Here is a 25,256-nt window from a genome sequence, read left to right as displayed (position 1 = left end):
CCTACCTCTCCTCCTGTACCAACCACTATTGCTGTCTGCCATGTATAATGGATAGGATTTTGAAAGCAGAGAGGAGAGCATTTCAAGCAGAAAGCACAGCATGAGCAAAGGAAGAGAGTTGGAAATGATACAACATGTGGCAGGGACAATAGGAAAGCAAGCCTGTCTGGAGCAGAGTTATGCAATGTCAGAGACAAGTTTGCAAAAGTAGAGGGAGCTACAGAAGCCGGGCAGAGGACTTGTGATATGATATAATTGGAAATACAGAGCTATTCTTTATTTTGGGACAGAGCAGTGAGATGATAAAGCTGTTGTCTCAAGATGATCCTGGCCAAAACAATTGCACATTGTTTGGATGGGAGCACATGGAATCAGGAGTCATGGCCAAGACTCTGTGGAGATAATCCGTGAAGGAGGAGGTGAAGGCCTGAGCCACATGGCCATATTAGACATAGAGAGGAAGGCGTGGAATAGGACTTCTCAATAAATGAACTGACACGTGACCCACTGGAAGTTATCAACATGTCAAAGAGATAACGAACTTGTGTACTGTGTGTATACAAGGCTGAGTATTACAACTTCTTAAGATAAATGTTTTATAATTTCCCCTGCTTAAATTCCATAGTCAAGTGTTATCATTTCTCCCCTACATACACTCTCGCTCTGTTGCCGCCCTCTGCCTTTGTTTCCTCACTTAGCTAAATCATAGGCCTGACTAAATCCAACTGTCTACTGTGTGACTGAACCACACAGCAGAACGTACCTGGAGAAAATCCGGGTATGTCAAATTGACATCAAGTGGAGCCTCAAGGCCACCAGGCATTAATACCAAACTGCCTTGTTTTCCCTCTCCCGTTCTCACTGTGACCTCTATTTCAGACCTTCACTGCCCTCCCCAAACCTCCAGCACTTCCCCTATCTTCAGTGTCAGCCCATGATACTGCTTTCTATTACAGTGGAAAACAGAAGCCACTGGAGGGGACAGGTGCCAGCTCCCACCATTAGCCACCTGGACCCACCTCTCTGGATCTGTGCCCACCCACTGTGCCTGCCCTCCTCTTATCACAGACAACCACTGGGGCTCCTTGGAAAGCCAACGTCTGCCCCTACTCATAGGCAACATCCTCCTGCACTCCCTCAGGCCACTACTCCAGAAATTCTCCCTCTGTCTCCTGTGGCAACCAATGTTTTCTTTATTTCTGGATCATCAAACAATCAACCATGTTGACTTGTCTTTCATGTTAAAAACAACAACAACAAAACCCTCTGGGCCCCTCTCTCTCCTTTAGTTACTATTGTATTCTTTTCCTTTGCTTTATGTGACAAGTTCTCCTGAAGAGTTGTTCACATTCATTGTTTGTAATTCCTTTCTTCTCCCTCTTGAAGCCACTCCAGTTGGGTTTTTACTACCACCTGTTCACCAAAACTACTATTACCAAAGTCTCCAAATCTAAAGGTGAGTGCTTAGGGATCATTACACCTGAACTGTCAGCAGGATGCCCTGTCAATGTACCTTCCAAACTGAGACACGTGGGAGGGGGAATGGCTGTGAGTAATGACTAGATCATGTCAGTAGGTGTAAACTGGGATTGTCTGGGGGCAAACCATGATATATCAGCAGATTCAAAACAGCTTTTCCTTCCGTCTTTTGAAACATTTCTACTCTGGGCCTGTGGACAGCAGTAATCAGGTTTTCTTCCTGCCTTCCTGACTACTCCATGCCAGTCTCTTTTGCCCATTCCTCCTAATCTCCTGGTCTTCAAAACAGTGAGATGCCCCAGGACTCAGCCCTTAAACCTCTTCCCTCCTCTGCACTCACTCCCACAGGGATCTCCTCCTGTCCCAGGGCTTTAAATACCATCAAATGCTAACGACTCTCAAATTTATATCTGGCCTGCATCTCTGCCCTGGACTTGAATAGCCATCTGCCCACTCTGTGTATCTGCAGACTTCCCCATTGTAGTATGTTCAACATTGAGCAACTCTTTCCCAAAACCTGTTTCCCATCTCAGATTATAACAACTCAGTGCTCCTAGCCACTCTGGCTGAACGCCTCAGTGTCATCCTTAGCTCCTCTCTTTCTCTCACCACCCTCAGCCCACATCTGCTGAGTCAGCAAATCCTGTTGGCACATACATCAAAAGAGACCCGGAACCTGCTTCTCATCACCCTCCCACCTCCGCCTTAGCGTGAGTCACCAGTATCTTGTGCTGGGATGGTTGTAATTGCTCCCGGAGTGGTCGCCTCCCTTCTATCCTTGCCCCCTTCGCATTCCTCGCTACAGCTCTCAGAGCCATGCTGTAGAAATAATTGGAAGCCAGATCCTGTCGTGTTTCTTCTGAAAACCCTCCGATGACTTCCCTTCTCATTCGTAAAAGCCAGTGTTCTCATTCTGTACTGCCTTCTTATTCATTCGCTCTAAGTCCTTTGCAGTTGCTGATCCCTCGGCTGGAACCAGATATTCACATGTGTTACTCCCTCACGTCTTTACTTGAAAGCCATGTCCCCAATAAGCCTATCCAAACCCTGACATCCCATCTGAACCTTGACACTTCATACCCCCTTCCTTGCCTTGTTTTCTTCTGGGCTTCTACCACTGGCTAACATAGTGTTTATCTTCTATATCTTACGTATTGGCTGTTTCCCCACCTACAATGGAAGTTCATTAGGACTAGGGTTTTTGTCTATTTCAGTTGTTGCTGATCCTCAGCACCTAAAAACGTGCCTGACACAGACTAGATCCAATAAATATTTGTTGAGTGAATTCTCTTGCAATTAAATGCACACAATGGAAGAGGAGATGTTGCAGCTATAATAAGCAAAGGAAACCAGACATTGATCCTTCCATGTGAAATACGACCCAAGCTTCTATATATAATACTTCACAGAGTGTTCTGCAGAGGATTAACAACACAAGAGACACCACAAATAAAAAGGAGTCCACAATCAAATAAGTTGGGAAATACTGCATAGGATACTTTTAGGAATTCAGATGGTGCAATCGCAAATAAAAATCTCTGATAAATCATTTAGGAAATAGGTTTCTATCTTTTTCTTTCTTCTTCCATTAGCACTTCATCCAGCCAATTCTTAAGTAGTCTTCAAGGCACAGTGTGTTGGCCAGGTGTGGTGGCTCATGCCTGTAATCTCAGCACTTTGGGAGGCTGAGGTGTGCAGATCACCTGAGGCCAAGAGTTTGAGGCCAGCCTGGCCAACATGGTGAAATCCTGTCTCTACTAAAAATACAAAAATTAGCTTGGTGTGGTGGTGGGCGCCTGTAATCCCAGCTATTTCAATGGCTGAGGCATGAGAATCGCTTGCATCCAGGAGACAGAAGTTGCAGTGAGTCAAGGTTGCACCACTGCACTCCAGCCTGAGAAATAGAGTGAAATTCTGTCTCCAAAAAAAAAAAAAAAAAAGGACTCAATGTATCAACAGTTGACATTCTTTCAGGCTGCCCAGCTTCACTGGACACCTTTCCTGCATTTGTGGAGCCTCTGACCTAACCGCCACAAGTTAGGATAGAGCATAGACCATTGAGCCCTACTGCAGTGAGGCTTCCATTGGAAGCTAGTTTTGCGAAGAAGCAGGGGTCATGCAAAGTCCATCCTGCAGGGCAGCGGTTGCAGAGGTTCCCATGGTCACATATAGTGTCCTGTACCAGAGGTGGGATAGGAGGAATCTGCATGTCGAGGTGGTAGCAGTGGTGGCAGTATTGTGATCTAATTTGAGCAGTATTGTGATCTAATTTGAGCAGTATTGTGGTCTAATTTGGGCATTGTTCCTGGCTTCTCTATCTCCTAACCCTAACCCTAACCAAGTGTTCCTCAAACATGTCTCAGTCAGAGCTCTTCTCTTAAGAAAACACCTATTAACTTCCAGCAAACATCAGCGTTCCTTTGGTGGTCTGCTCCACATCTGTGCTCTCAGAGCCCTGCTACAGTCCGCCACAGGCGCACCAGGGACTGAGATCCTGGCTGTGTCTCCTCTAATCCCAGGAATTCTCAACCCTAGGAAGTAGGACAAAGCCATCAGTATTGCTTTCAAGACCTAGATGATTGCAATGTGCAGCCAGAATTGAGAACCCCCAGGTAGGATAAACATTTTCCTGGATTCTGAACTTGGAATAGTGTTCTGAAATTCAGGCAGCTATGAAGAGCTGGCCCCTAAGTGCTGTGAGAGGCATGTCCCCATGCCCGTGTGGAATGCCACAGATCCAAGGCCAAGGCCATCACTGCAGGCCAGCGCAGCTGAGAGAGGAGTGGAACAACTCAGTGAGCAACCTGCATCAGGGAGAAGTCTTCTCTCCTGTTATGAAGTCCAGGTGCTGGTGAGCATCAGCTTCTGGATCAGCCTATCGGCCCCGCACCTGGGGACTCTGGGAAAAATAAGAACTCCTGTAATAGCATCTAGCAGACAAAGAGCTGGGAGAATGACAGGGGCATGAACGAGAAGAGCCAGCACTTGCACAGACTGAATGAGCTCCTGGGAGCTGGAGTGAGTGTTCTGTGCACTTTGAGAAACAGCACAGATCATTCAGCTTAGTGGTCATGATCCAGTCAACAAAGAAACTCTCTTTATTCTCCTCCCCCCTACCCCCGAGACCTCACAGATCCCACATGGATTTTGAAAGCTTTTATCTGCCAAATACCCGAATCTGTTATGTTATAATGTAATGTGGGTTTTTGGTGCTTATTAATTGTTTAGTAGGCTGTGTTGCCCAAGGAGCTTGTGAGAGTAGTGAGTAAATATGACCTTTCCATTAACCATTTCAATACACTGAAAACAGCTCTACTCCCTGTGTGACTCCAGCCTGGGAATTCACTTTGGTCTTTTTCTTTAGATTTTCTCTGATGAGAGCAATCCTCTAGCTTTTTCTCCACCTCTCAACAATCACATTTGAATGGTCACATGAGCTCATCAAGAAAAACACAGTTTTTCTTCTTCTTTAGAGGCACCTACCAAGGTGTTCTGACCAAATTAGAACAACAGGATGTAAATGCTTTCAGTACCTCCTAAAAGCAGTACTGTTCGCCCAATAATAACTCAGGATGCACCTGTTAAAGTGGTTCAAATGGTGGCATTTCAGTTTCTGAATGTCCTGGGGTTGTCTTGACAATGTTACAACACATTTGGGTCTTGTGTTATCCTCTGGAGGTGGAAAACAAAAGCTGTATTTTTCCCATTCAGTAGCCATTCCTCCCATGTCAGTTCTTATGTGCTCCCTGGGATGAGGACAGCTTCCAACGAGAGGCTTTGCCATGCACCTACAGGGCTGCTGTCGGAAGGGAGTGCAGCTCCTTGAAGGCTGTGGATTTGCAATAAGAAGGCAGCGTAGACCGGGCGTGGTGGCTCACGCCTGTAATCCCAGCACTTTGGGAGGCCGAGGTGAGTGGATCACGAGGTTAGGAGATTGAGACCAGCCTGGCCAACATAGTGAAACCCCGTCTCTACTAAAAATACAAAAATTAGCCGGGTGTGGTGGCAGGTGCCTGTAGTCCCAACTACTCAGGAGGCTAAGGCAGGAGAATTGCTTGAACCCAGGAGGCAGAGGTTGCAGTGAGCCAAGAGCATGCCATTGCACTCCAGCCTGGGTGACAGAGTAAGAATCTGTCTCAAAAAAAGAAGGCAGTGTAGCAATACTATTTTGCTAGAAGTAGTACTAACTTCTAACAATACAGACCAACATACCTATTGCCTTTTCTGCTTGGGAAAGGCCATGATTTTGAGGGGGGTCTCTCTCAAGCAAGCCATCCTCTGAGGGTAGACAAATGTGACTTTTCATCCATTCCTTCATGCATTCATTCAACAAACAGGTATCGTATTAGTCTGTTTTTGCGCTGCTGATAAAGACATACCTGAGATTGGGCAATTTCCAAAAGAAAGAGGTTTACTGGACTTATAATTCCAAGTGGCCGGGGAGGCATCCCAATCATGGCAGGTGAAAGGCACGTCTCACATGGCAGCAGACAAGAGAAGAGAGCTTATGAAGGAAGTCTCCCCTTTTTAAAACCATCAGATCTCATGAGACTCATTCACTATCATGAGAACAGTGCAGGAAAGACCTTGTCCCCATGATTCAATCACCTCCCACCGGGTTCCTCCCACAACACATGGGAATTGTGGGAGTTACAATTCAAGATGAAATTTGGGTGGGGACACAGCCAAACCATATCAGGTATTAAATGCCTGCTGTGTACCAGACATCACGTAAACACCTCTCAGGCCATGGGGCTTACAGTTTAGAGGGAAAGTCCGAGGCTAAACAAAATTCACACAACCAAATAATTACCCTTCTGTGAAGGGATATGGGGAGAAAGGACAAGATATTAGTGCAGGAAGCCTAACCCCAGCTGGAGGTCAGGGAATTTTTTACTGAGAACATTGTATTATTTCATCGCTGTACACAAATTCAGTTGTATCTTCACTTTTAGGCTTTCTGAGCTGGAAGCCACGCTGCTTGGCGATGGGAATCTAAGCAGGACCATGTGTGGCTGCTACCATATGAAGCAACATGTCAGTCCCTTGGGAGGGCTGGGAGTTCAGAGGAAGTGACGCTGAGCAGCCTGTGTGGAGGGGTGGCCGGGTCATGCAGGAAAGGCCGCATGTGAGAGAAGGTGCCAGGCACAGTGAGTCAGTTTGTTTTGGTGGAGCCTGGGAAAGAGATGTGGTTAGAAAGAGGGGTTCCTTCATCCAACACTTGTTGAGCCTCAACTGTATCCAGGCATTTGGGTGCTAGGGAGAGAGAAGTGAATGTGGCAAATAGCCCCTGGCCTTCGGGGAGCTTATTGATGGAGAAGACGGCCACCTTAACCAGCTAAGTCTGCAACAAAATGGCATCAAATGACAAAAAGTGTTATGCAGAAATTAAACAGCATGGCACTGGTGAGAGCTCAGTGGGCAGAGGGAGGCTGCTGCAGAGAGGGGCTTTGACTTGTCAATGTGGAAAGGCAATCGCCAGGCACTGAGGAGGTGGCGTGGGGGCAAGAGACCTGAGGGTGCAGGGAGTCCAGTCACAGAAGACAGGAAGGGAACAAGCACAGGGCACCACACACAAGGGCCTGAGAAGGGGAATGCTGGGAGGGTATCTAGAATCATCCCTAATGGCTAGAATCTAGGCGAGCAGAGGGCAGAGTGGTATGGGTTGAGATTGCATCTTTCCTGAAGGCCCTTGCAAGCCAAGGCAAAGAGCTGGAATTTGACTGTATGTGAAGGGAAGCCCCTGAAGGAAGTTAAGCAAAGGAGTGACACGATTCAATTCTAGCTGCTGGATGAAGGATGGATGGGAAGGACTTAAGAGTGGAAACAACATTCAGGAGGCTACTGTAGCAGACAGGAAGAGAAGGATATGGCAGCAGTGGAGAGATATCAGTCAGTGGGAGCTGTGGCTCAGAGATGGCAATGATTGGACTTGCTGATGGGGAGATCGAGTAGGAGGCGGGGATCAAGGCACTGCAATAAAGAAAAAGGGTAACAAAGTTTACAACTCAGAGGTCGGGGGTGGTGGCTCACACCTGTAATCCCAGCACTCTGGGAGCCTGAGGCAGGCAGATCACTTGAGGCCAGGAGTCTGAGACAAAGTTTGCAACTCAGGTTTCTGGTTTGTGCAACAGCGAGGAAGAACTATTTACTGAGGAGGGGAAATCGGAGGACAAGCAGATTGCTGCAGGGAAGCACAAGGTCAGCTTCAGCACACCTGCAGGACAAACAAGAGGAGGCATCCTGTAGATAGTGAGAGCTCAGAGAGAGGCCTCGGCTGCAAATGTACACTTTGGCAGCAGCATATAGATGGTGTTAAAGCCATGGCTATGGATGAGATCACCTAGGGAGTGATGCAGAGAAACAAAAGTGGGTTGGAGGCTGAGCGCTGAAAACTGACATCAAAGGTTGGGTTGAAGAGACTGAGGAGTGACGTGGGGATGGTAGGAGGTAGATCAGAGAAGCAGAAAGGACGGTGGATGCAGATGGGGCCAATGGCAGTTGTACCAACGCTGCTGAGAAGCCCAGGAAGATGAGGAACATAAAGTGTTCATTTGACTTGTCAATGTGGACATCTTCAGTGACTTTGAGAAGACTTGGTGTGTGGCAGGTTTGAGAGTCAGAGTGGCATGAGCTGAAGGATGAATGGAAAGTGAAATACAGATAATTTTTTTTTTTTTTTTGCTTATACACTGATGAAAATGGTCCAGTAGGAAGGAGTGATGAGTAACTTGTGCAGGAGAGAAAGAGAGGAGCTGAAGAACAAAGCCTTTGAGCAGGGAGCAGGGAGGGCATATGAGATTCCTAGGGCTGCTGTAACACCACACTCTTGGTGGCATAAAACCACGTACGTTTATTCTCTTACAGTTTTGGAGGTCAGAAGTCCAAAACCAGTTGCACTGGACTATAAATTGTCCACAGGACTGCAGGTCCCTCCAGAGGCTCTGAGGGGGAGTCTATTTCCTTGCTTTTTCCAGCATCTAGAGCTGCTTTTCCTGGCTCTTGGCCCCTTCATCTTCCAAACCAGCAGTTTAACATCTTCAAATCTCTTTCTGCTTTTGTTACGTCGCCTCCGGCTGTGTAGTCAAATTTCCTACTGCCCCTCTGTTATGAGGACACTTGTGATCACATTTAGGACCCACCGAGATAATCCAGGGTAATCTCTCCAGCTCACGACCCTTAATTTAATCACACCTGCAAAGCCTTCTGCCATATAAAGAAACAATCAGATGTTTCAGGAATTAGGACCTGGTTATCCGTGAGGGGCATTATTCTGGAGGACTGGGCTTTGCTAGGCAGGGATATACTGACTTGCTCCTTTGTGGGCAGAGGGAAAGGCGCCTGTGCAGGGGTGTGTAGATTTGGCGGGGGAGGGATAAGGGAGCTCATGCTTTTGGCTTCATTTTTCTCAGAAACATGAGATAAAGCTGGCAGCTGAGAGGATGGCGACTGACAGGGTGGGGTGGGGAGAGGAGAGGAGGAGCAGTGTCAGTGGAAGTATGGAAGCATCTCAGAGAGTGGGGCAGCACACTGCCTAGGCAGAGGTAGTCAGTTTTAGGGCAGGGGTGAGGAGGAATTTAAGGCTTATTTTTACCAGTGTGAAGGAGACATGCGGCTTGACTGTGCGATTTTTCTCCAGCAGAGTCTGGCTACCTGGTTGAAGGCACAGGGAACCCAGAGAGACAAAGCTCACCAGCATCTGTGGGGAGAATGTGGCAGGGCAGGAAGTGAAGGGTGAGACTCCATGGGCTGTAACTTGGCCAAGAGGCAAGAGAAGACATAGCAGTCTGTTGGGCTGCGAGGGGATTGTAGAAGATGGTGGGGTGGGTAGCTCAGAGGTCATGATGAGAAAGAAGCATTGCAGAAATGGGTTTCTTGAGCAAACAGTCGAGGAGGTGCTGGGCAGAGTGGATGCCTTCAGATTTTGGAGATGGTGCAGATGCTGGTGATGACAAGTGCTAGGGTCTCCCTTTTGGGTGTGAGTTACTGAGGGAAAGGTAGATGGAGCATCCACCTGGATGCTGAAGATGCCAGGAATGAAAGACAGGAAAGGGGTGGCCAGGAACACTGTGAGCCAGGAACCAAAGTCTTCACTGAACCAGGAAGAGTGATGTGGAAGAATGACAGGAACTGGCAGGGAAGAGGGTGCCATGCCCAGTGGCATCAATTTAAGGAGTACTGAAGGTTTTGTAGGATTTGGAAGGAGCAATGGGGAACCAGGAAGGCATCAGCTTTACTTCCTGGCTCTGAGGGACTCCAGGTGTGAAAGAATGAGCAGCCAACACTTGAGAGAGCTCCTAGAACTGTGTTTCAGTTAAAAACGAAAGACACTGATGCTGTAAGAGTGTATGGCGATGCTTGTGGGAATTTCCCAACAGCACCGTGGAAGGGTTTGGGAGGTTTGAGGTGTTGGAGAACACAGGGATTAGAGTTTGGCAATAACAGTTATTGGAGAGAATCCCTGGATTTCTAGTGTTGAGTGAGTTTCACAGGGACACAAAGCATGATGCAACCACATCACGGAAGGCCTTGAATGGCTGCCCCAGGCATGACTATTTCACCCCATCGGCCAAGGCCATGGGGACAGTGGTGGCGTTTTGGTCCAAGTTTAAGCAGCAAACTGTCTTGGTCAAAGGCAGGCTTTAGGAAAATTAATTTTCCAGCCATGTGAATGAAAGAGACTCTTAGAAAGCTACTGCAATAGGCCAGGCTTAGTCTCCGTTCAGGGTATGAACACTGAGAATGCTGGAAGGAAATCATGGTTACAGGAAATGCGGTTGAATTTTGAGACACACGGGAAAAGAGCGAGCAATACAAGATGCCTCCCATGTTTCAAGCTTAAGTGGCTGGAAGAACAGACTTTGGAGGGAGATTGATGGTTTTGGTGTTTGGCAACCCATGGTTAAAGGTTCATAAGTGGCTGGGCCTAAGGCGGGAGCAGAATAATGACAGGTGAGACAGTGGGCGCGTCCCCTGTTGCCAAGCCAGGAGTTAACTACCTGGGGCTTCCTGGATTGAGGATAATCAAAGAGCAGGCAGGATCCCGGAGAGCAACCCGGTGATTCTAATTTAGCTTCAGATCCCCGGGGTAGGGCTGGAGCTTTCGATTACCATCTGCTGTAAGGTGTGTGTGCAGGTGCGAGTTATGAGTCGCTGGGCAGGGATGCCTTCGGGCCATTCCACAGGCTGAGTTCAGCCATAGCAGGCGTGCTGTCATTCATTTTAGTAACCGGCATAAATGAGGGCACAGTAGGACCCCAGTCAGTCCTGCTAGGTGCCTTCTTGTCTAGAAGAGGCCGCTTTGACTTTCTTTCCTCTTCATCCCTGAGTTGAGGCCGGGCAGGGGTAACCAGCAAGGGGTTCACTTGGGAAGCGGGTTTCATCACCCCTCTGAGCCCAGGTCGAGAATCACAGTTGAGCTCTGGCCAAGAATCTAACTAATTCAGGTGCAAACCCCACCGTCTTTTGCCCGATTTCCTATATTCTGCTGACAGCAGCTCTCTCCTTCCTTTGGCCTGAAATCGCGGGGTGCTTGTGTGAGCTGAGATTAGCCGAGGCTGACCTGCCCCTCCGTGGCTTCCCGCTGGCCTCATCGTTACTTCGTGTGTTCACCGCCGCTCTGAGCAGAGCGGGCCCCTGGGGAAAGGGGTGCGGGCCTGGGTTGCGGAGGCGCAGGAGCCTCGCGGGATTGGGGCGAGCCGTCCCATGGCGGGAAGGCAGGAGGCCGGACTCGGAAGGCTCTCCCAGACTCGGTCCCTCGCTCCAGCCCTTCCCTGCCGGTGCGCGGAGCCGGGGCTCGGGCGGGTAGCGGTCGCGCGCCGGCGCGGGCGGGCGGGGAGAGGAAGGGGCGCGGCCTCTCCGGGGCGGGGCGCGGGGCGGGCGCTGCGAGGGGACCGGAGGCCGCGGCGAGAGCGCGCCCAGCCCCGCCGCGATGCCCGCGCGCCCAGGACGCCTCCTCCCGCTGCTGGCCCGGCCGGCGGCCCTGACTGCGCTGCTGCTGCTGCTGCTGGGCCATGGCGGCGGCGGGCGCTGGGGCGCCCGGGCCCAGGAGGCGGCGGCGGCGGCGGCGGACGGGCCCCCCGCGGCAGACGGCGAGGACGGACAGGACCCGCACAGCAAGCACCTGTACACGGCCGACATGTTCACGCACGGGATCCAGAGCGCCGCGCACTTCGTCATGTTCTTCGCGCCCTGGTAACGCCGCGCAGGCCGGCGCCCTGCCCCGCACTTGGCGCTTCGCGGGGCGTGGGGCGCTTGGGCGCCGCGGGCGGGGGGTCCCGGGGCCACGTGGACGCCGACGGCTCTGGTCTGCGGCGTGCGTGCTACGGGCGCGGGGCTCGGGGCTCAGGGGTGCGGGGTGTAATACTGGGGGCGCGGGGCCGGGAGCGCGGGGACCCTGCGGGTTCGGGGCTCCGGCTGGCGGGGAGCGGGGGGCGCGGGCGCCGCGGCTCGGGGCCGGGAGCCGGGGACTGCAGGGGACCGAGGGCTTGGGGCTCCGGGTCGGGAGGCGTGAGCTCAGCGGGCCGGGCACTGGCGGCTGACGTGGCGCTCGGCGGCCGGGGCGGTGCGGGAGGAGGGGGCGGACCCCTAGGGGACAGCCGGGAAAAGCCCGCCCTGCGCCGCGCTCCTGAATTCAACCGCCTCTTGCACCTCGGCACCGAGGGAGGGGAAGGTGGGGTCGTCGCCCTTTCGGGCAGCCGGGAGTCCAAATGTCACCCCGCGGTCCCTGCCCAGCGCCCCAAACTTCCTGTGCCGGCCGGACGCGCGGCCTGCCCGTGGGCCACGTGCACTCACCAGAGCGGCCTTGCTGCTGCCGCGGCCACCGGGGTCGGCTGGGACAGACTGCGGGCACGTCCCCTTCCAGAGGCTTTAACTGAAAAATAGAACCCAGGAAGGTGTGGTTTCCCACTTTGTGCGTCTTTTGTGGGATAGGAAGGAGTGGTCCGGGCAGAGGAGGGTTGCTGAGCTACCCCGGGAAGACCAAGGTAGTGCGAATTCTGGAACCCCTCCGCCCCCCTGCAGCTCAGGGTGGATGTAATCTCTGAACGGAGCCCACTGGTCCTCAACTCCAGGCTGTCCTGTCACCTCCCTGCTGCTCTCTCGGGTCCAGGTCACTTGTTATGTGTGAGATCGGAAAAGCCCCTCCGTTGAGCAGATGGTCCCTCTTGCTTTGGTTCTCTGGGCGAGGCTTTGGTGTGGGCCTCGCTGCTGACCTGAGAGACCCTACCCTGGCACTCATCCCACGGAAGAGCTTCCTGTCATTCACACAAGCATGTGCACAGCTTTCCTGCCAGTGCCGGGATGCCCCGAGGAAGGGAAGTGACCACAGGCCAGAGCAGAAAGCCATAATTTTAGGACACAAGACCTTTGAGAGGTTGGAATAGCCTGCAGGTTCTTGTTGCAGAACTTGGTATTCTTCCCCAGAGCTCAGTAGAGGCTCACTTGGGAAAGGGATGTAGGGAGGCATAGAGAAAAGGTACCCTAAGAAAAATGGCCAGTTCAGAAATTGTACCTTTCAAACTGGGAGAAACGTTTTTCTCTTAACCTTGTATTCAGGCTATTACTGCGTTTCAGTTCATTTGGAGTTAAATCAACTTTTAGGGCCACTGTGGGTTTATTAACAATGTGTATATGAAGTACATTATGTTTCACATTCCTAAGAACCAACTGACTCGAATTTTTACAACTCCAATGGTTTAGAAATTACTTTGTAACATAAAACAATCAGGCAGTATTAACAGTTTCTCTTTGTTCGGGAGTATTCTCAGCAACTATTTCAATTAAGTGTACTACTTAATTGGAGCCTATTTCAGTGGAATACATCTGTCGATGGGTTTTCTTTTTTCTTTCTTCATTATTTATTTATTTTAGAGATGGGATCTTGCTCTGTTACCCAGCCTGAAACCAGTGGTACGCAGCCGCAGCTCACTGTAGCCTCTAACTCCTGGGCTCAAGTGATTCTCCTGCCTCAGCCTCTGAAGTAGCTGTGACTACAGGCGCAGGTCATCACACCCAGCTTATTTTGTTGTTGTTGTTTTTGTTGTAGTTGGTAGAAACAGGGTCTCGCTATGTTGCCGGGGCTGGTCTCAAACTCCTGGCCTCAATCAGTACTTCTGCCCTGGCCTCCCAAAGTACTGAGATTACAGGCATGAGCCATCGCATCCCATTCTTTACTTTTTTTTTTTTTTTAAAGAAAAACTGACATGCAGATGTAATAAGTCCCCACAGTGCCAAAGGAATTTTAAGTTTAGAATCTTTGCAATAAATACCAGCTAGTCCTGGGCTGAGTGAGAGAAAACTGGCACATCTGGGCACTTGGTATTAAGTAAATTCCTTTTCCATTATATGTGGCTTGTAGACATTTAGCTGGATGCTTCCAGAATAATTAGCTTTATGTTGTTACTTTTTTTTTTTTTTTTTTTTTTTGAGATGGAGTCTTGCTCTGTTGCCAGGCTGGAGTGCAGTAGCGCAATCTTGATTTACTGCAACCTCCACCTCCTGGGTTTAAGCGATTCTCCTGCCTCAGCCTCCTGAGAAGCTGGGACTACAGGTGCGTGCCACCACGCCCAGCTAATTTTTGTATTTTTAGTAGAGATGGGGTTTCACCATGTTGGCCAGGATTGTCTCGATCTCTTGACCTCGTGTTCTGCCCGCCTCTTCCTCCCAAAGTGCTGGGATTACAGGCGTAAGCCACCGCACCTGGCATATTTGTTGACTTCTTGATAGTCTACTACAAATACTTAAACAGAGATATGTGGGTTTCTATGATGGTGTTTAAGTTGGACTTTTAAGAGGGCCCTTTCAGAAAACTGCAGATACTGCAGTAGGGCTCACGAATAGGCTGCCAGGAAAGGAGGCTGAGTGGGCGGCGAGTCAAATGGGAGGTCAGCAGGGGCAAGATCAAGTAGGACCAACAATACCTGGCACAACACTTTGGTAAGTTGTAAGGCTGAGAGCAAGGTGGTGACTCTGGAGGGGTCTATGCAGGAGAGGGAAGGAGGTCCTGGAGTGGTGAGCTGAGCGTTTGGAGCTCAGATAGAAGACTCAGTGGACTCCCCCTCAACACACACATACCTTTTTCCAGTTTCAGCTGCCGTGGAGTGGTGAAAGCCCACGTGTGATTAAGGGGCTGGGGCCCCTGTAACAAAAACATCAATCTGTGTATTTTTGCCCTGCACTTGGCTTCTGCAGGGTTATCCTGCTGCTGTAGATTTTTTGCCAACATCAGGTCACAACTTCTGTATGGCCAGTTTGTGAGTCACCCTGAACCTGGTGACAGTGAGGTCAAGATTTGGACCAGGTAGCTTTGCTCTACTTCTTGGCCACAGGCTACCTTCTGAGTGCAGCTGCCTGTCTCAGAGTTGGGTGCTGTAGCCGCAGGGCCGACTAGATAGCACCTGTGGCCCCATCACAGCCAGGAGCAAGGGCACGCCCAACTTGGTGATGGCCCAGAATGGTCAGTTTTGATTTAGCGCACCACAAACTTATTTATTGTTTATTCTCATTCTTAATCTAATCTTGTGTTTTCTCAAAAAAAAAAAAGGGAAAAAAAAAGCAGTAGCAAAACAAAACCTTGTCAAGATTGCAGAGGAGTTCTAAAGTTCCAGAATGAGCATATCTGATCAAAGTCCCCTGAAGGTCAGAACTGCCCTTGACAGTCCCTTAGGAAGGTGCCTTGTTGGACACCGCCCCAGTCAGTCAGTCAGTCCCCACTGCCAGCGTTTCCTCCAGCATTAGAACTATCATGGCTTCTTTGGTTAAACACCAAATGGACTAGTTCTCAAACCTGTGCCTTTAGACAGCAGGGTCACACTTAATGTAGTCGGAGAGATGCTCATGCCATGAGAAGCATGTAGGAACCAAGGCCTGCTGAGGAACAAAAACCTCACATCTCCCAGCTTGCACACACTTCAGGGTTCTGTGGGAATTGCCTTTTTTTTTTTCTTGTTTCCTTCTCCCCCGCCACATAAACTCACTTTGTTGAATCTACAGAAGTTAAATCTGCATGTATAGTTTCATTGTGCTTTTTTTTTTGTATCTGAGTATCTCATAAAGCAGGGATTCTCTTAGCTGGCCAAGAAAGTGCTGTTTAGGGAAGACACATTAACTTGAAGCAGACTTTTTCAGTGCTACCTTTAAGTCTGTTTTTCTTTTTTTTTTTTTTTTTTTTTTGAGATGGAGTCTTGCTCTATCGCCCAGGCTGGAGTGCAATAGCATGGTCTCGGCTCACTGCAACCTCCGCCTCCCGGGTTCAAGCGATTCTCCTGCCTCAGCCTCCTGAGTAGCTGAGATTACAGGCGTGTGCCACCATGCCCAGCTAATTTTTGTATTTTTAGTAGAGATGGGGCTTCACCTTGTTGGTCAGGCTGGTCTCGAACTCCTGACCTTGTGATCCGCTTGCTTCGGCTTCCCAAAGTGCTGGGATTATAGGTGTGAGCCACCACACCCGGCTTAAATCCTTTTTTTCTTAAGAGACAAAATCTCTGTCACCCAGGCTGGAGTGCAGTGGTGTGATCATAGCTCGCTGCAGCCTCAAACTTCTGGCCTCAAGTGATCCCTCTGCCTCAGCCTCCCAGGTAGCTAGGACTGCAGGTGTGTGCCACCACACCAGGCTAATTTTTTAAAATTTTTTGTAGATGGGGGTCTCACTGTGTTGCCCAGGCCAGTCTTGAACCCCTGGGCTCAAGCAGCTCTCCTGCCTTGGCCTCCCAAAGTGCTGGGATTACAGGCATGAGCCACTGCTACCGACTTAAATGCTTATTTTTGAGGTAATCTGTCAGAAAATAAAAGGAGATTTAACAGATTATTAAATTATTTTGAGGAAGAAGTCACAATTCTAAGCGTTGAGTGTTCATATAAGCAAGTGTGTTTAAAAAAAAAGCATTTTAAAAAGCGATACAGCAAAGTGGTTACATTGTAGGCATCAGTGTGTTCCTGCCATATTAAATAGCAAACAAACCCATGTGTCATAATGCTATGGGATTGTAGTTGAAACCTGGGATAAAGTTTCTAGGGTTGTCTCATTCAAAATTCGAGTATGGCACTGTAGACATACTGTCCAGAGAACACAGCAAGAGCTGTGGTCAGCTGTATGACTTAAGGTCTAGTGTTGGGAAAGATGCTGATATCCTCATGAAATGTGAAGCATGGCAAGAAGCCTAGTTAAGATACTATTTTAAATGATGGGTGATTTTAAAATATTTATACATAACTGAATTCATACAATGAATACTAAGAATAGACATTTGCTTACTTCAACCCTAGAAGTATAGGTGGCCACAAACTTTTTTTTTCCCCTTCTCATTGGAGAAAATTGCAGGTGATTAAATTTTGAGATTGCCTTATGTTTGTAGCCATTTGGTTATATAGTGGAGGAGACTTGACGAATAAAAGTAGCAGATACAGCAGGAAGTGCTAAGCTACTGTCCAAGGGAGGAGTAGAGAGGCTTTCCAGAAGGGCAGGAGAAGAGAATGGGTGCTGAACAGCCCGGGGAGTCAGGGCCAACTTGCTAGAGGAAGTGACACCCAAACTAAACCTGAAGGGCAGATAGATTTAGCTAGGTGGAGTTTAGGGACGAAGTGTCAGAGAGAATGTGTCCCAGGGCCAAGCCAAGCTATAGTCCTTTGGGAACACTGCAGATGCTGCAGTAGGGCTCAGGAGTAGGCCACAAGGGAAGGAGGGTGGACTCTGGGATAGAAGTCAAGCGGGAGGTCAGCAGGGCCAGAACAACTAGGATCCAGAACAACACTTTGCTAAGTTTAATACTGGAACAAGGCCAAGATTTCATGCTGAGAACAGGGCAGTGACTCTGGAGGGATGGGAGCAGGGGAGAGAGGTCCTGGAGTACTGGTCCAGGAGCTGCCATCTGCAATGGTGTAAAGAAAGGACTGAGAGCCCCATTGTCCCCTGGACAGAGCTGAAGTTGTGGGCCAGCTGCCCTGTGACCTGATACTCAATGTGCTTGTACTCTTGCCTTGTTCCAGGTGTGGACACTGCCAGCGGCTGCAGCCGACTTGGAATGACCTGGGAGACAAATACAACAGCATGGAAGATGCCAAAGTCTATGTGGCTAAAGTGGACTGCACGGCCCACTCCGACGTGTGCTCCGCCCAGGGGGTGCGAGGATACCCCACGTAAGTTGGAAGGAAGGGGGCACACTTCCTAGGTGGCTCCTGGCTACAAAGAAAGTCCTAGTTAAACTTTTGGTAAAGGTGTGAAGAGATACTAAATTTAAGCAGGCAGTCCCTGTCATTAGGGAGAAACTGCATTTAATGCTGTGTCTGTTTTAGATGGCTTTTATACTTGGATAACCTTTAATTCATCAGTGTTGGGTTTTCCTGTTTATAAGAGAATGTGTTTGCAAGAGAAAAATGACGGTCCCGCCATGCTAGATGTTCACCGGTACATTTTACACAGTGTGCATGGACTGTCATCAGTTTTGGCTTGCTTTTGCTGGTGACTTATTCGCAAACACCCTTCCTATAGTTCCTTCCCGTGTGACTCCCACAGGGCTGTTCCTGTTGGAAAGAAAGTATAGAGTCTGACAGACGATGATACTTACTTCCTTGACAGTTAAGAATTTTTTTGGTTATAAGAAATAGAAATTGAAATGTTCTCAATTCTAGAAATAGAATTGTTCTCTTATTAAACAGAAAGAAAGGACTATTTAAAAGGCTGTGGAGGAACCTCTGAGAGCCAGCTCCAGGGGCCTGGGGTCTGTTTCTCCTGCACCTCCCTTGAGATGACGGCTTTCCAGGCCTGTATCTCTGTTTGCACAGAAGGGCCCACCACTGACTGGCCCTGCTTGGCTGGAATGTTCGTTCCAGGAATAGTCACTGTGGCCAGGGAAACAGGAGCTTATAGCAAGACACATGCCCATTCACACCATGTGCCAAGTGTTGGAGGGAAAAGCAGTTCTTCAAAAAAGAGAAGAAGCTGTTTCTGAAGGAGGTGGAGGGATTGCCACGGTCACTTCCTTGCTGTTTGTTTCAATTGAGGAATGAAGTCAATTCTATACAATTTATTGCTTAATTGAATAATATAGGGGTCCATCAATAAAGCAAAAAATTGGAGCTTATATTCAAACCTGGGAGGCAGAAAAGTGGAGGGATCTCCAGGCTTGAACCTAGAAGTCGTAGTCAAATCCCAGCTCTACCATTTACTTACCACCCAGCTCTGACCTCATCACTTAACCTGTAAGTAAGGTGATCCCCCAAACATTGTTACAGGACTTACATGGAATGTGTGCAGACACCAATCTGAGCACACCCAATACATGTTAGGGTTTTCCCTACCATTTGGAAATGTGGGCGTTTCCACAAAGGACCCTGGAATTCTTGGTCTTTGGTGACTGCTTGCTAATGTAAGTGCCATAATTTGGGTTTACTTTAAATCAGATCAATGGAGATAAAATTGCTTACTATCTGTATCTACGTAAAAGCATTAACTATTCTATGCTTTATAGTATTGCATTGAAAGTATGGATCAAGAGCATCCCAAAGAAGCAGGTAGTGAGCAGAGATGAGGGCGAGGAGGTGAATGCTTACCTGTTGAGAAACTGTTGCTTTCAAAGTTCAGGGGCAGCAGGGGTGAGCTGGCTGTGGTGTCTTTCCTCTTAACCTGCTGACCATCTGTGGCCTGAGACTATGTGCATCACACACCATGCCACAGGGAAGGTGACACAGGACCTGTAATGGAGCTGAGAGTGGTATGTGTTATGGGGCTTCAGAGAAGGAAGTGAAGGCTTCCACCTCAGCCTGGCCATAACAGCTGTCAGCTGCAATATCAGCTACTCCATAGTTGGTATTCACCAAAAACCATCACAAATTTAAAAAGTCACAAATGTAAAAAGTCACAAATTTAAAAAGGCCCATGTTGGATCATGTGTTTAGATTTTTAATGAGAAGAGCTGGTCTCCCCAAGTAAACCATGGCTGGTTTTGTGTTATTAAAAAGAACAAAAATGAACGTACACCACACTGAACACAGTTTGGGAAGGAACCTCTGTGACCATCACTGCCCTGCAGAAGCTCCAAGAACAGATTATTTTCCCCCCGAGAATGCAGGAGGTGGAATGTGCTGTGTGCAATGTGGTCGCACTGGGGCATCTGTAGATTGACTTGAGCGAGCTTTGACTCCTCTAAGACAAGTGCCCATCCCATAGAGTGGTTGTGAGGCCCGAGGCAGGTGACGACTGTACCTGCCTGAGTCCAGGCATGTGTCAGGACATGAGCTTTCACGTTATTCTTTCCTGGCAAGTGTAACTGGAGTAAAGGATTGGAGGGGCAGGGAGTTTGGGCTCCCACGCTCCCTAGAGATGGCTGGCTGTGCTCAGGAAAATGTTTTGAGGTCTTCCTGTTGGGCCAGTCATGAATCATTACAGCAGGGCAGGACTGACGGGGGGAACTACCTGTGTTAGTTTCCTAGGCTGCTGTAACAAAGTTCCACAAACCGGGTGGCCAGAAACAATAGAAATGTATTCTCTGCAGTCCTGGAGGCCAGAGGTCCTAAATCAAGGAGCCAGCAGGGTCATGCTCCCTCTGAAACCTGTAGGGGAATCCTCCCTTGCCTCGTCCTGGCTCCTGTTGGTTTCCTGGTCATCTTTGGCGTTCCTTGGCTTGTAGATGCATCACTGCCGTCCTCTGTCCTCACATGCCCTTCTCTCTCTGTGTGTGTGTGTCTCTCTGTGTCCAAACCCTTCTTACAAGGACACCAGTCATGCTAGATTGGGGCCCATCCTAGTGACCTCATTTTAACTTGAATATCTCTGTAAAGACCTTATTCTAAATAAGGTCACCTTCTGAGATTGATGGTTATGACTTACACAGATCTGTCTTGCAGGACACAGTTCAACTGATAACACTGTCTACGGTAGTAGAACTTTCATCATGCTGTTTGCCAAGGCAGTACCTACATGGGGATTTTCTCCCTGCAGTCTCCTTGAAAAAGGAGACTCAAATGCCCATGTGGAGGCTTGGTAATAGCGGAAATCTGGGGCAATACTTTGTTTGGGCTTGTACCCTGTGGCCCAGTCTCCATCACCTCCCTCACCCCTGTCGACAGTGAGAATTGAAGTCAGATGTCCCAAACTCACTGCAAGGTCTGGACCAGAAGTGTCCGCTCTGTCCCTGGGCTCTGTGAACTTACCGAGGAAGAATCTCAGACTTCCTGGGCAGGTTAGAACGATTATCAGTCCAACAACAAGAAGATGGTTTTTTTTAAATTATTTGTTTTGCAAATGAATAGCAAATTACAAAAAAATCATAGGCTAGGTCTTACTGTATTTTACTTTTAGCAAAGACACAAGTGTGACCGTCCCTGGTCCTTTCTGATGTCTTGAGGATCCACCCATTTCCCTTCCTGAAGAGCGTTAGCGGGAGGCAGAGCCGTGCAGGAAGCAGTTTCTGTTTCCAGGTGCGGAACACACCTTGTGGGAGCCTGGGGAGGTGCCAGGCTAGGTGAGGGCAATCATCTTTGATACCGCAGATGTTGCAGTTGCTTATCATGTTGAACTTCGTGACGTAGCCGGTGTACTGGCCAAATCTAGTTAAGTTTTGGCTGTTTTTTGTGGTTATGAGAGTCTGAGCTGCTGAGGAAGCTGGGTGTATATTCTGCACTGGAGACACATTAGGGACCCTACCTATGCCCCATCATACCATCTTAGGTTCTGGGTAAGGCCAGTATGCTGATACTAATTTCAAAGCCTAATCTAGCCATGTGACTTCATTTTAAGGAGAATTAGCCATTTTTTTTTGGACTGAATGTGTGTGTACCCCAGCATTCATAGGGGAAATCCTAATCCCCAATGCTGGCAATAGGAGGTGGGGCCTTTGAGAGGGAGCAGGTTATTAGGGTGGAGCTCTCATGAATAGGGTTGCATACCTTATGAAAGAGGCCCCAGAGAGTTCTGTTTCCCCTTTTGCCATGTGAGGGCACAGCAAGAAGACACCATCTGTGAACCAGAAAGCCCTCACCAGACACTGACTCTGCTGGCACCTTGATCTCAGACTTCCCAGTCTCTAGAGCTAGGCGAAATAGATTCTGTTGTTTCTAAGACACCCAATCTGTGGTCTTCTGTTACAGCCGTTGAACTAAGACACTATTCAAACCTTCATGTCAGATTTTACATATGTTGCCGTCTTACAATTCTGATACCGTACATTGGGCATTTACTCACAAAATCCACATACGCGCTGTAGAAGTGGCAGGGGTGTTTAGATGAGCAGGCTTGCTAACAAATGGTACTCTGTATTTCTTTTTTCTTCTATTGGTAGTCACATTTTTGCCTATCCTTGACACCTTCTATGAATTTTTATCTAGAGTATTAGAGCACGTTTTCCCGTGACTGCTGGAGGGATACAGGAACTGAGTGTTAATTTCATCCTCTGGTGATGTCTTTTGCTTATGGTTAAAGGACCTACTCCCGTATCCTCTCTGCAGATTCCTTCAGAGGCCAACATTTGTAGGAAAAAGAAAAGATTCCTTCTCTATGGGAAGGTGAATGGACAGCATCAGTCAATGTCAAGGATGTTCTTATAGCTGGAAACTTGAATTCTCACAGTAACTGGATATTCAGGCCTTGTAAGAGTTGAATACCTGCCAGGTGGCCTGGAAGAATACCTTAATTGCAAAACAACACCGTGTCTGCTCCAGTCCTAATTTGAACACAGACAACAACTGCTGAAGCCGGGAAAGCATAACAGTAGCTTGCAGGGAAGGCCCGAGGCTGCTGCAGAGGAGCACTGAGTACTGTAGCTTTTGAGGCCTCAGTCACAGCAGCGGGCTGGAAGTTTTCACCTCATTTTAGTTTTCCTTGAATAAAACCAGAAACTTCTGAAAGTTTAGGATTAACTGAATGTATTATCTCCTGGAACGTTATGTTTGTTTCCTTTTTATCAGAGAGGAGCAGATACATGCCTGGCTGCAGCCCCTTGACAGCTCATTTTCTGATTGTTTCACTAAATGAGTTTGCTCTCTGATAAGACAACTTTCTTTTTGCTCTGTCTAATCCTTTGTTATTCTTTCAGCTTAAAGCTTTTCAAGCCAGGCCAAGAAGCTGTGAAGTACCAGGGTCCTCGGGACTTCCAGACACTGGAAAACTGGATGCTGCAGACACTGAACGAGGAGCCAGTGGTGAGTGTCTACCTCCTTCCCTCCCTCCCTCCCTCCCTCCCTCTCTCCCTGCCTACATCTTTGGGGTAATATGTAACGGGGCAGAGGCCAGTTGAGGTTAATGATTAAGGCTGCCATTTTAAAGCAACTCTACTTTTTTTGGAGCTTATTGGTATTACAGGTAAAGATGAACTTTTACAGAAACTTTTTGGTGTGGAAATACCTAAATGTGCACAAAAGTCAAGAGAAGGCTAAACCCTGAGTTTCAGCAGTTACCACCATTTTGGTGTTTGTCTTCCCCACCACCCTGCGCCTTGTTTGGCTGTAGTCAGTCTTCAGGGAAGTCACTTGTGTGGCCTCACAGATAAGCACTTACTCTTTGTTAACACTGCCACCCTGCCACTGTCACAGGTAATACAGTTCACAACTGTACCCCAGCATCAGAGACTGACTCTGGACCACCTGGGGTCAGGGCTGGGCCCAGCCTAGAATCTCCTATCCAAGCCAGCACTGGAGCCTCCTCCCATCCCCCCGACCTTTGCCCTCCACCACCTGCAGCCCTCTGGCTCGGGCCTAGCCCGACAGCTGTACCCGTAGGGTGGATCCTTCCTTTTCTTCTCGGTGCTCAGTCCCCGAGTCTCTAATGGGCTTTGCTTATAACATCATTTTGTACCATTAATACTCTGTGTCTTAATGCACTTCCCTTACTAAGGCTAATATCAGGAGATTGTAGACTCTTAGAATATTATGTACTAAAAAGGATTTATAATCCTCCCCCTCCCCAGTTGATGTTGGAAGTCTTCACTTTTTTATAAATCATCATGATCATAAACCACTGGTTAAGTGTTCCTTTGTGGGTGGTGCCTTCTGATTAATGCCGAGTGCTCAGGTCCCTGGATGCCGGGTAGACCTGGTGGGTCATGCTGCTGTGTTGGAGAGGGACTGGAAAAACACTCGTGTTCCTACACTGTAGGATCCTGATGAGCTAGGAAGAGCATCTGAAGTCTTTGTAATTTCAATTTCAACAAATACCTAAGACTACCTTCTTGTATCAGCTAAGCGCCCACTGATTTGAAGGTGGTCTGTGGTGGTCCTTTTGGAGCTTTGCCGCTTACTGTTGCCAGTTTCCAGTGTGTCTGTGCGGCTCTTCCGCTCTGCCCCATCTTCTCTGATGACCTAATCAGAAACTTGGCTGCTGATTCAGTGCTTCCATCCCTCACCTGCAAAGACTCTCTCAACTCGGCTGGGTGTGGTGGCTCATGCCTGTAATCCTAGCACTTTGGGAGGCTGAGGCGGGTGGATCACCCAAGGTCAAGAGTTCAAGACCAGCCTGGCCAACATGGTGAAACGTCGTCTCTGCTAAAAATACAAAAATTAGCCAGGTGGTAGGTGCCTGTAATCCCAGCTACTTGGGAGGCTGAGGCAGGAGAATCACTTGAACCCAGGAGGCAGAGGTTGCAGTGAGGCGAGATCATGCCACTGCACTCCAGCCTATGCAACAGAGCAAAAACTATCGTGGAAAAAAAAAAAAAACTCTCTGAACTGTATGGTGGAGACTGTTGGTGTGTGATGTTATGTCGTTGAACCAGAGACTTACCTAACTTTAGCTAAAAGAACCACAGACCTCTCAGGAAATTTGCATCTTTGTCCTGGCAAGAAAGCTGAATGAGCAGGTGTGACTTTCATAGTTTTCAATTGGACATTGTTTCCTTTGTGAAAATATTCTCTTTGTGGGGACACATATATTGGATGGTAGCAAACCAATTTTAAGGAGGAGTTAATAGCCTCAAATAAATTTCACCAAAAAAGCCAGTCTTCTATGATGGCTTTATTCAAGAAACCAGCAGCCAGTATCAGGACGGCAGAAAGACCTCATCTCATGGCCCATTTCCCTTAGTGGAGGTGGCGGCCTCACCTGCAGGTTGGAAAGGGCTGAGAGGCTGCGTCCAGGCTCTGCAAGGGACTTTCTGTCTCCTCAGTGTGGGAGCAGGATGGCCGCGTGTAATCCCCCCATGCCACCCCAGAACCACAGTCACCAACTTGCCATATTTTAGTGTCTCCAGCAATAGCAGGCCCCAGATAATTGCCAGAAACAATGACAATGCGCCTTATTGTGGAAAAGTTTAAGTATATACACTTTATACTGCAAACCAGAATTCTCTTAGCTTTTTAAGTGAAAACTTTAAAAAAAGTTCTTTATCTGTATACCTAAGTAACTTAGTACATACATTTTTTAATATTCACGTGGGATAAATTTAGATTTTTTTAAGTGTTGTGGCAATATTCAAGAAACTCAAAAGACAATTTGTCACTTTGTACATTCTACTGCAATTTTTGTATTTCCATGTTTGCTTCTGTATTTTTTCTTGAACAGTTATACAAACATGTTTCATCTCATTAATGATTTTATATATTTATGTGGTCTTTATGTTGATCATGTCTTATATTATTTTATCATGTGGATTTGCCATAATTCAACTCTAATTCTGTCAGTGGATATTTAGGTTATTTATACCTTTTCCATCATCAGTAATGATGTAGGGAACAAGTTTATCTTTGTAAAGGACTTTCCACCCCCCCTTCTTTTGAGTGATATTTTTAGAATATAGTATTCCCAGACATAAAATTATAAGGCCAAGAATAAAAAAAAAGATCATTTTTATGGC

General features: G+C 48.2%; 1 protein-coding gene and 1 long non-coding RNA gene across 3 annotated transcripts in view, besides 5 other annotated features; both read left to right on the top strand.

The window, feature by feature from the left end:
* BLOC1S5-TXNDC5 (BLOC1S5-TXNDC5 readthrough (NMD candidate)) overlaps window positions 1-25,256 on the top strand; it is a 183,165-nt gene that overhangs the window by 142,228 nt on the left and 15,681 nt on the right. Inside the window, exons 5-6 of the long non-coding RNA NR_037616.1 lie at window positions 17,464-17,613; window positions 22,506-22,611. This is a non-coding gene — a long non-coding RNA (BLOC1S5-TXNDC5 readthrough (NMD candidate)). The remainder of the gene's footprint in view (window positions 1-17,463; window positions 17,614-22,505; window positions 22,612-25,256) is intronic.
* Window positions 1,428-2,627: an enhancer, noted in NCBI's record as "P300/CBP strongly-dependent group 1 enhancer chr6:7919793-7920992 (GRCh37/hg19 assembly coordinates)". NCBI's record gives its function as "activates an origin of replication core promoter dependent on BRD2, BRD4, P300/CBP, MED14 and CDK7 cofactors, with strong dependence on P300/CBP, by STARR-seq in HCT116 cells {active_cell/tissue: HCT116}" and the evidence as "EXISTENCE:reporter gene assay evidence [ECO:0000049][PMID:35650434]".
* Window positions 9,125-9,274: an enhancer, noted in NCBI's record as "active region_23952". NCBI's record gives its function as "activates an Ori minimal core promoter by ATAC-STARR-seq in GM12878 lymphoblastoid cells {active_cell/tissue: GM12878}" and the evidence as "EXISTENCE:reporter gene assay evidence [ECO:0000049][PMID:35858748]".
* Window positions 11,115-11,544: a silencer, noted in NCBI's record as "silent region_16893". NCBI's record gives its function as "represses an Ori minimal core promoter by ATAC-STARR-seq in GM12878 lymphoblastoid cells {active_cell/tissue: GM12878}" and the evidence as "EXISTENCE:reporter gene assay evidence [ECO:0000049][PMID:35858748]".
* TXNDC5 (thioredoxin domain containing 5) overlaps window positions 11,399-25,256 on the top strand; it is a 29,272-nt gene continuing 15,414 nt past the window's right edge. Inside the window, exons 1-3 of one of the 2 annotated variants that reach the window (NM_030810.5) lie at window positions 11,399-11,673; window positions 17,464-17,613; window positions 22,506-22,611. In NM_030810.5, the coding sequence (NP_110437.2) occupies window positions 11,411-11,673; window positions 17,464-17,613; window positions 22,506-22,611 (519 nt within the window). In that variant the 5' untranslated portion in view covers window positions 11,399-11,410. Of the gene's footprint in view, window positions 11,674-12,109; window positions 12,375-17,463; window positions 17,614-22,505; window positions 22,612-25,256 lie in introns of those variants that run through there. The other variant, NM_001145549.4, reaches the window with a different exon arrangement.
* Window positions 11,915-12,034: a silencer, noted in NCBI's record as "silent region_16892". NCBI's record gives its function as "represses an Ori minimal core promoter by ATAC-STARR-seq in GM12878 lymphoblastoid cells {active_cell/tissue: GM12878}" and the evidence as "EXISTENCE:reporter gene assay evidence [ECO:0000049][PMID:35858748]".
* Window positions 12,235-12,324: a silencer, noted in NCBI's record as "silent region_16891". NCBI's record gives its function as "represses an Ori minimal core promoter by ATAC-STARR-seq in GM12878 lymphoblastoid cells {active_cell/tissue: GM12878}" and the evidence as "EXISTENCE:reporter gene assay evidence [ECO:0000049][PMID:35858748]".

The sequence above is a fragment of the Homo sapiens genome, chromosome 6, assembly GCF_000001405.40.
Source record: "Homo sapiens chromosome 6, GRCh38.p14 Primary Assembly".
Classification (NCBI taxonomy): domain Eukaryota; kingdom Metazoa; phylum Chordata; class Mammalia; order Primates; family Hominidae; genus Homo; species Homo sapiens.
Note: the sequence above shows the minus strand (reverse complement) of the source record. Positions and strands in the feature narration are given on the sequence as shown.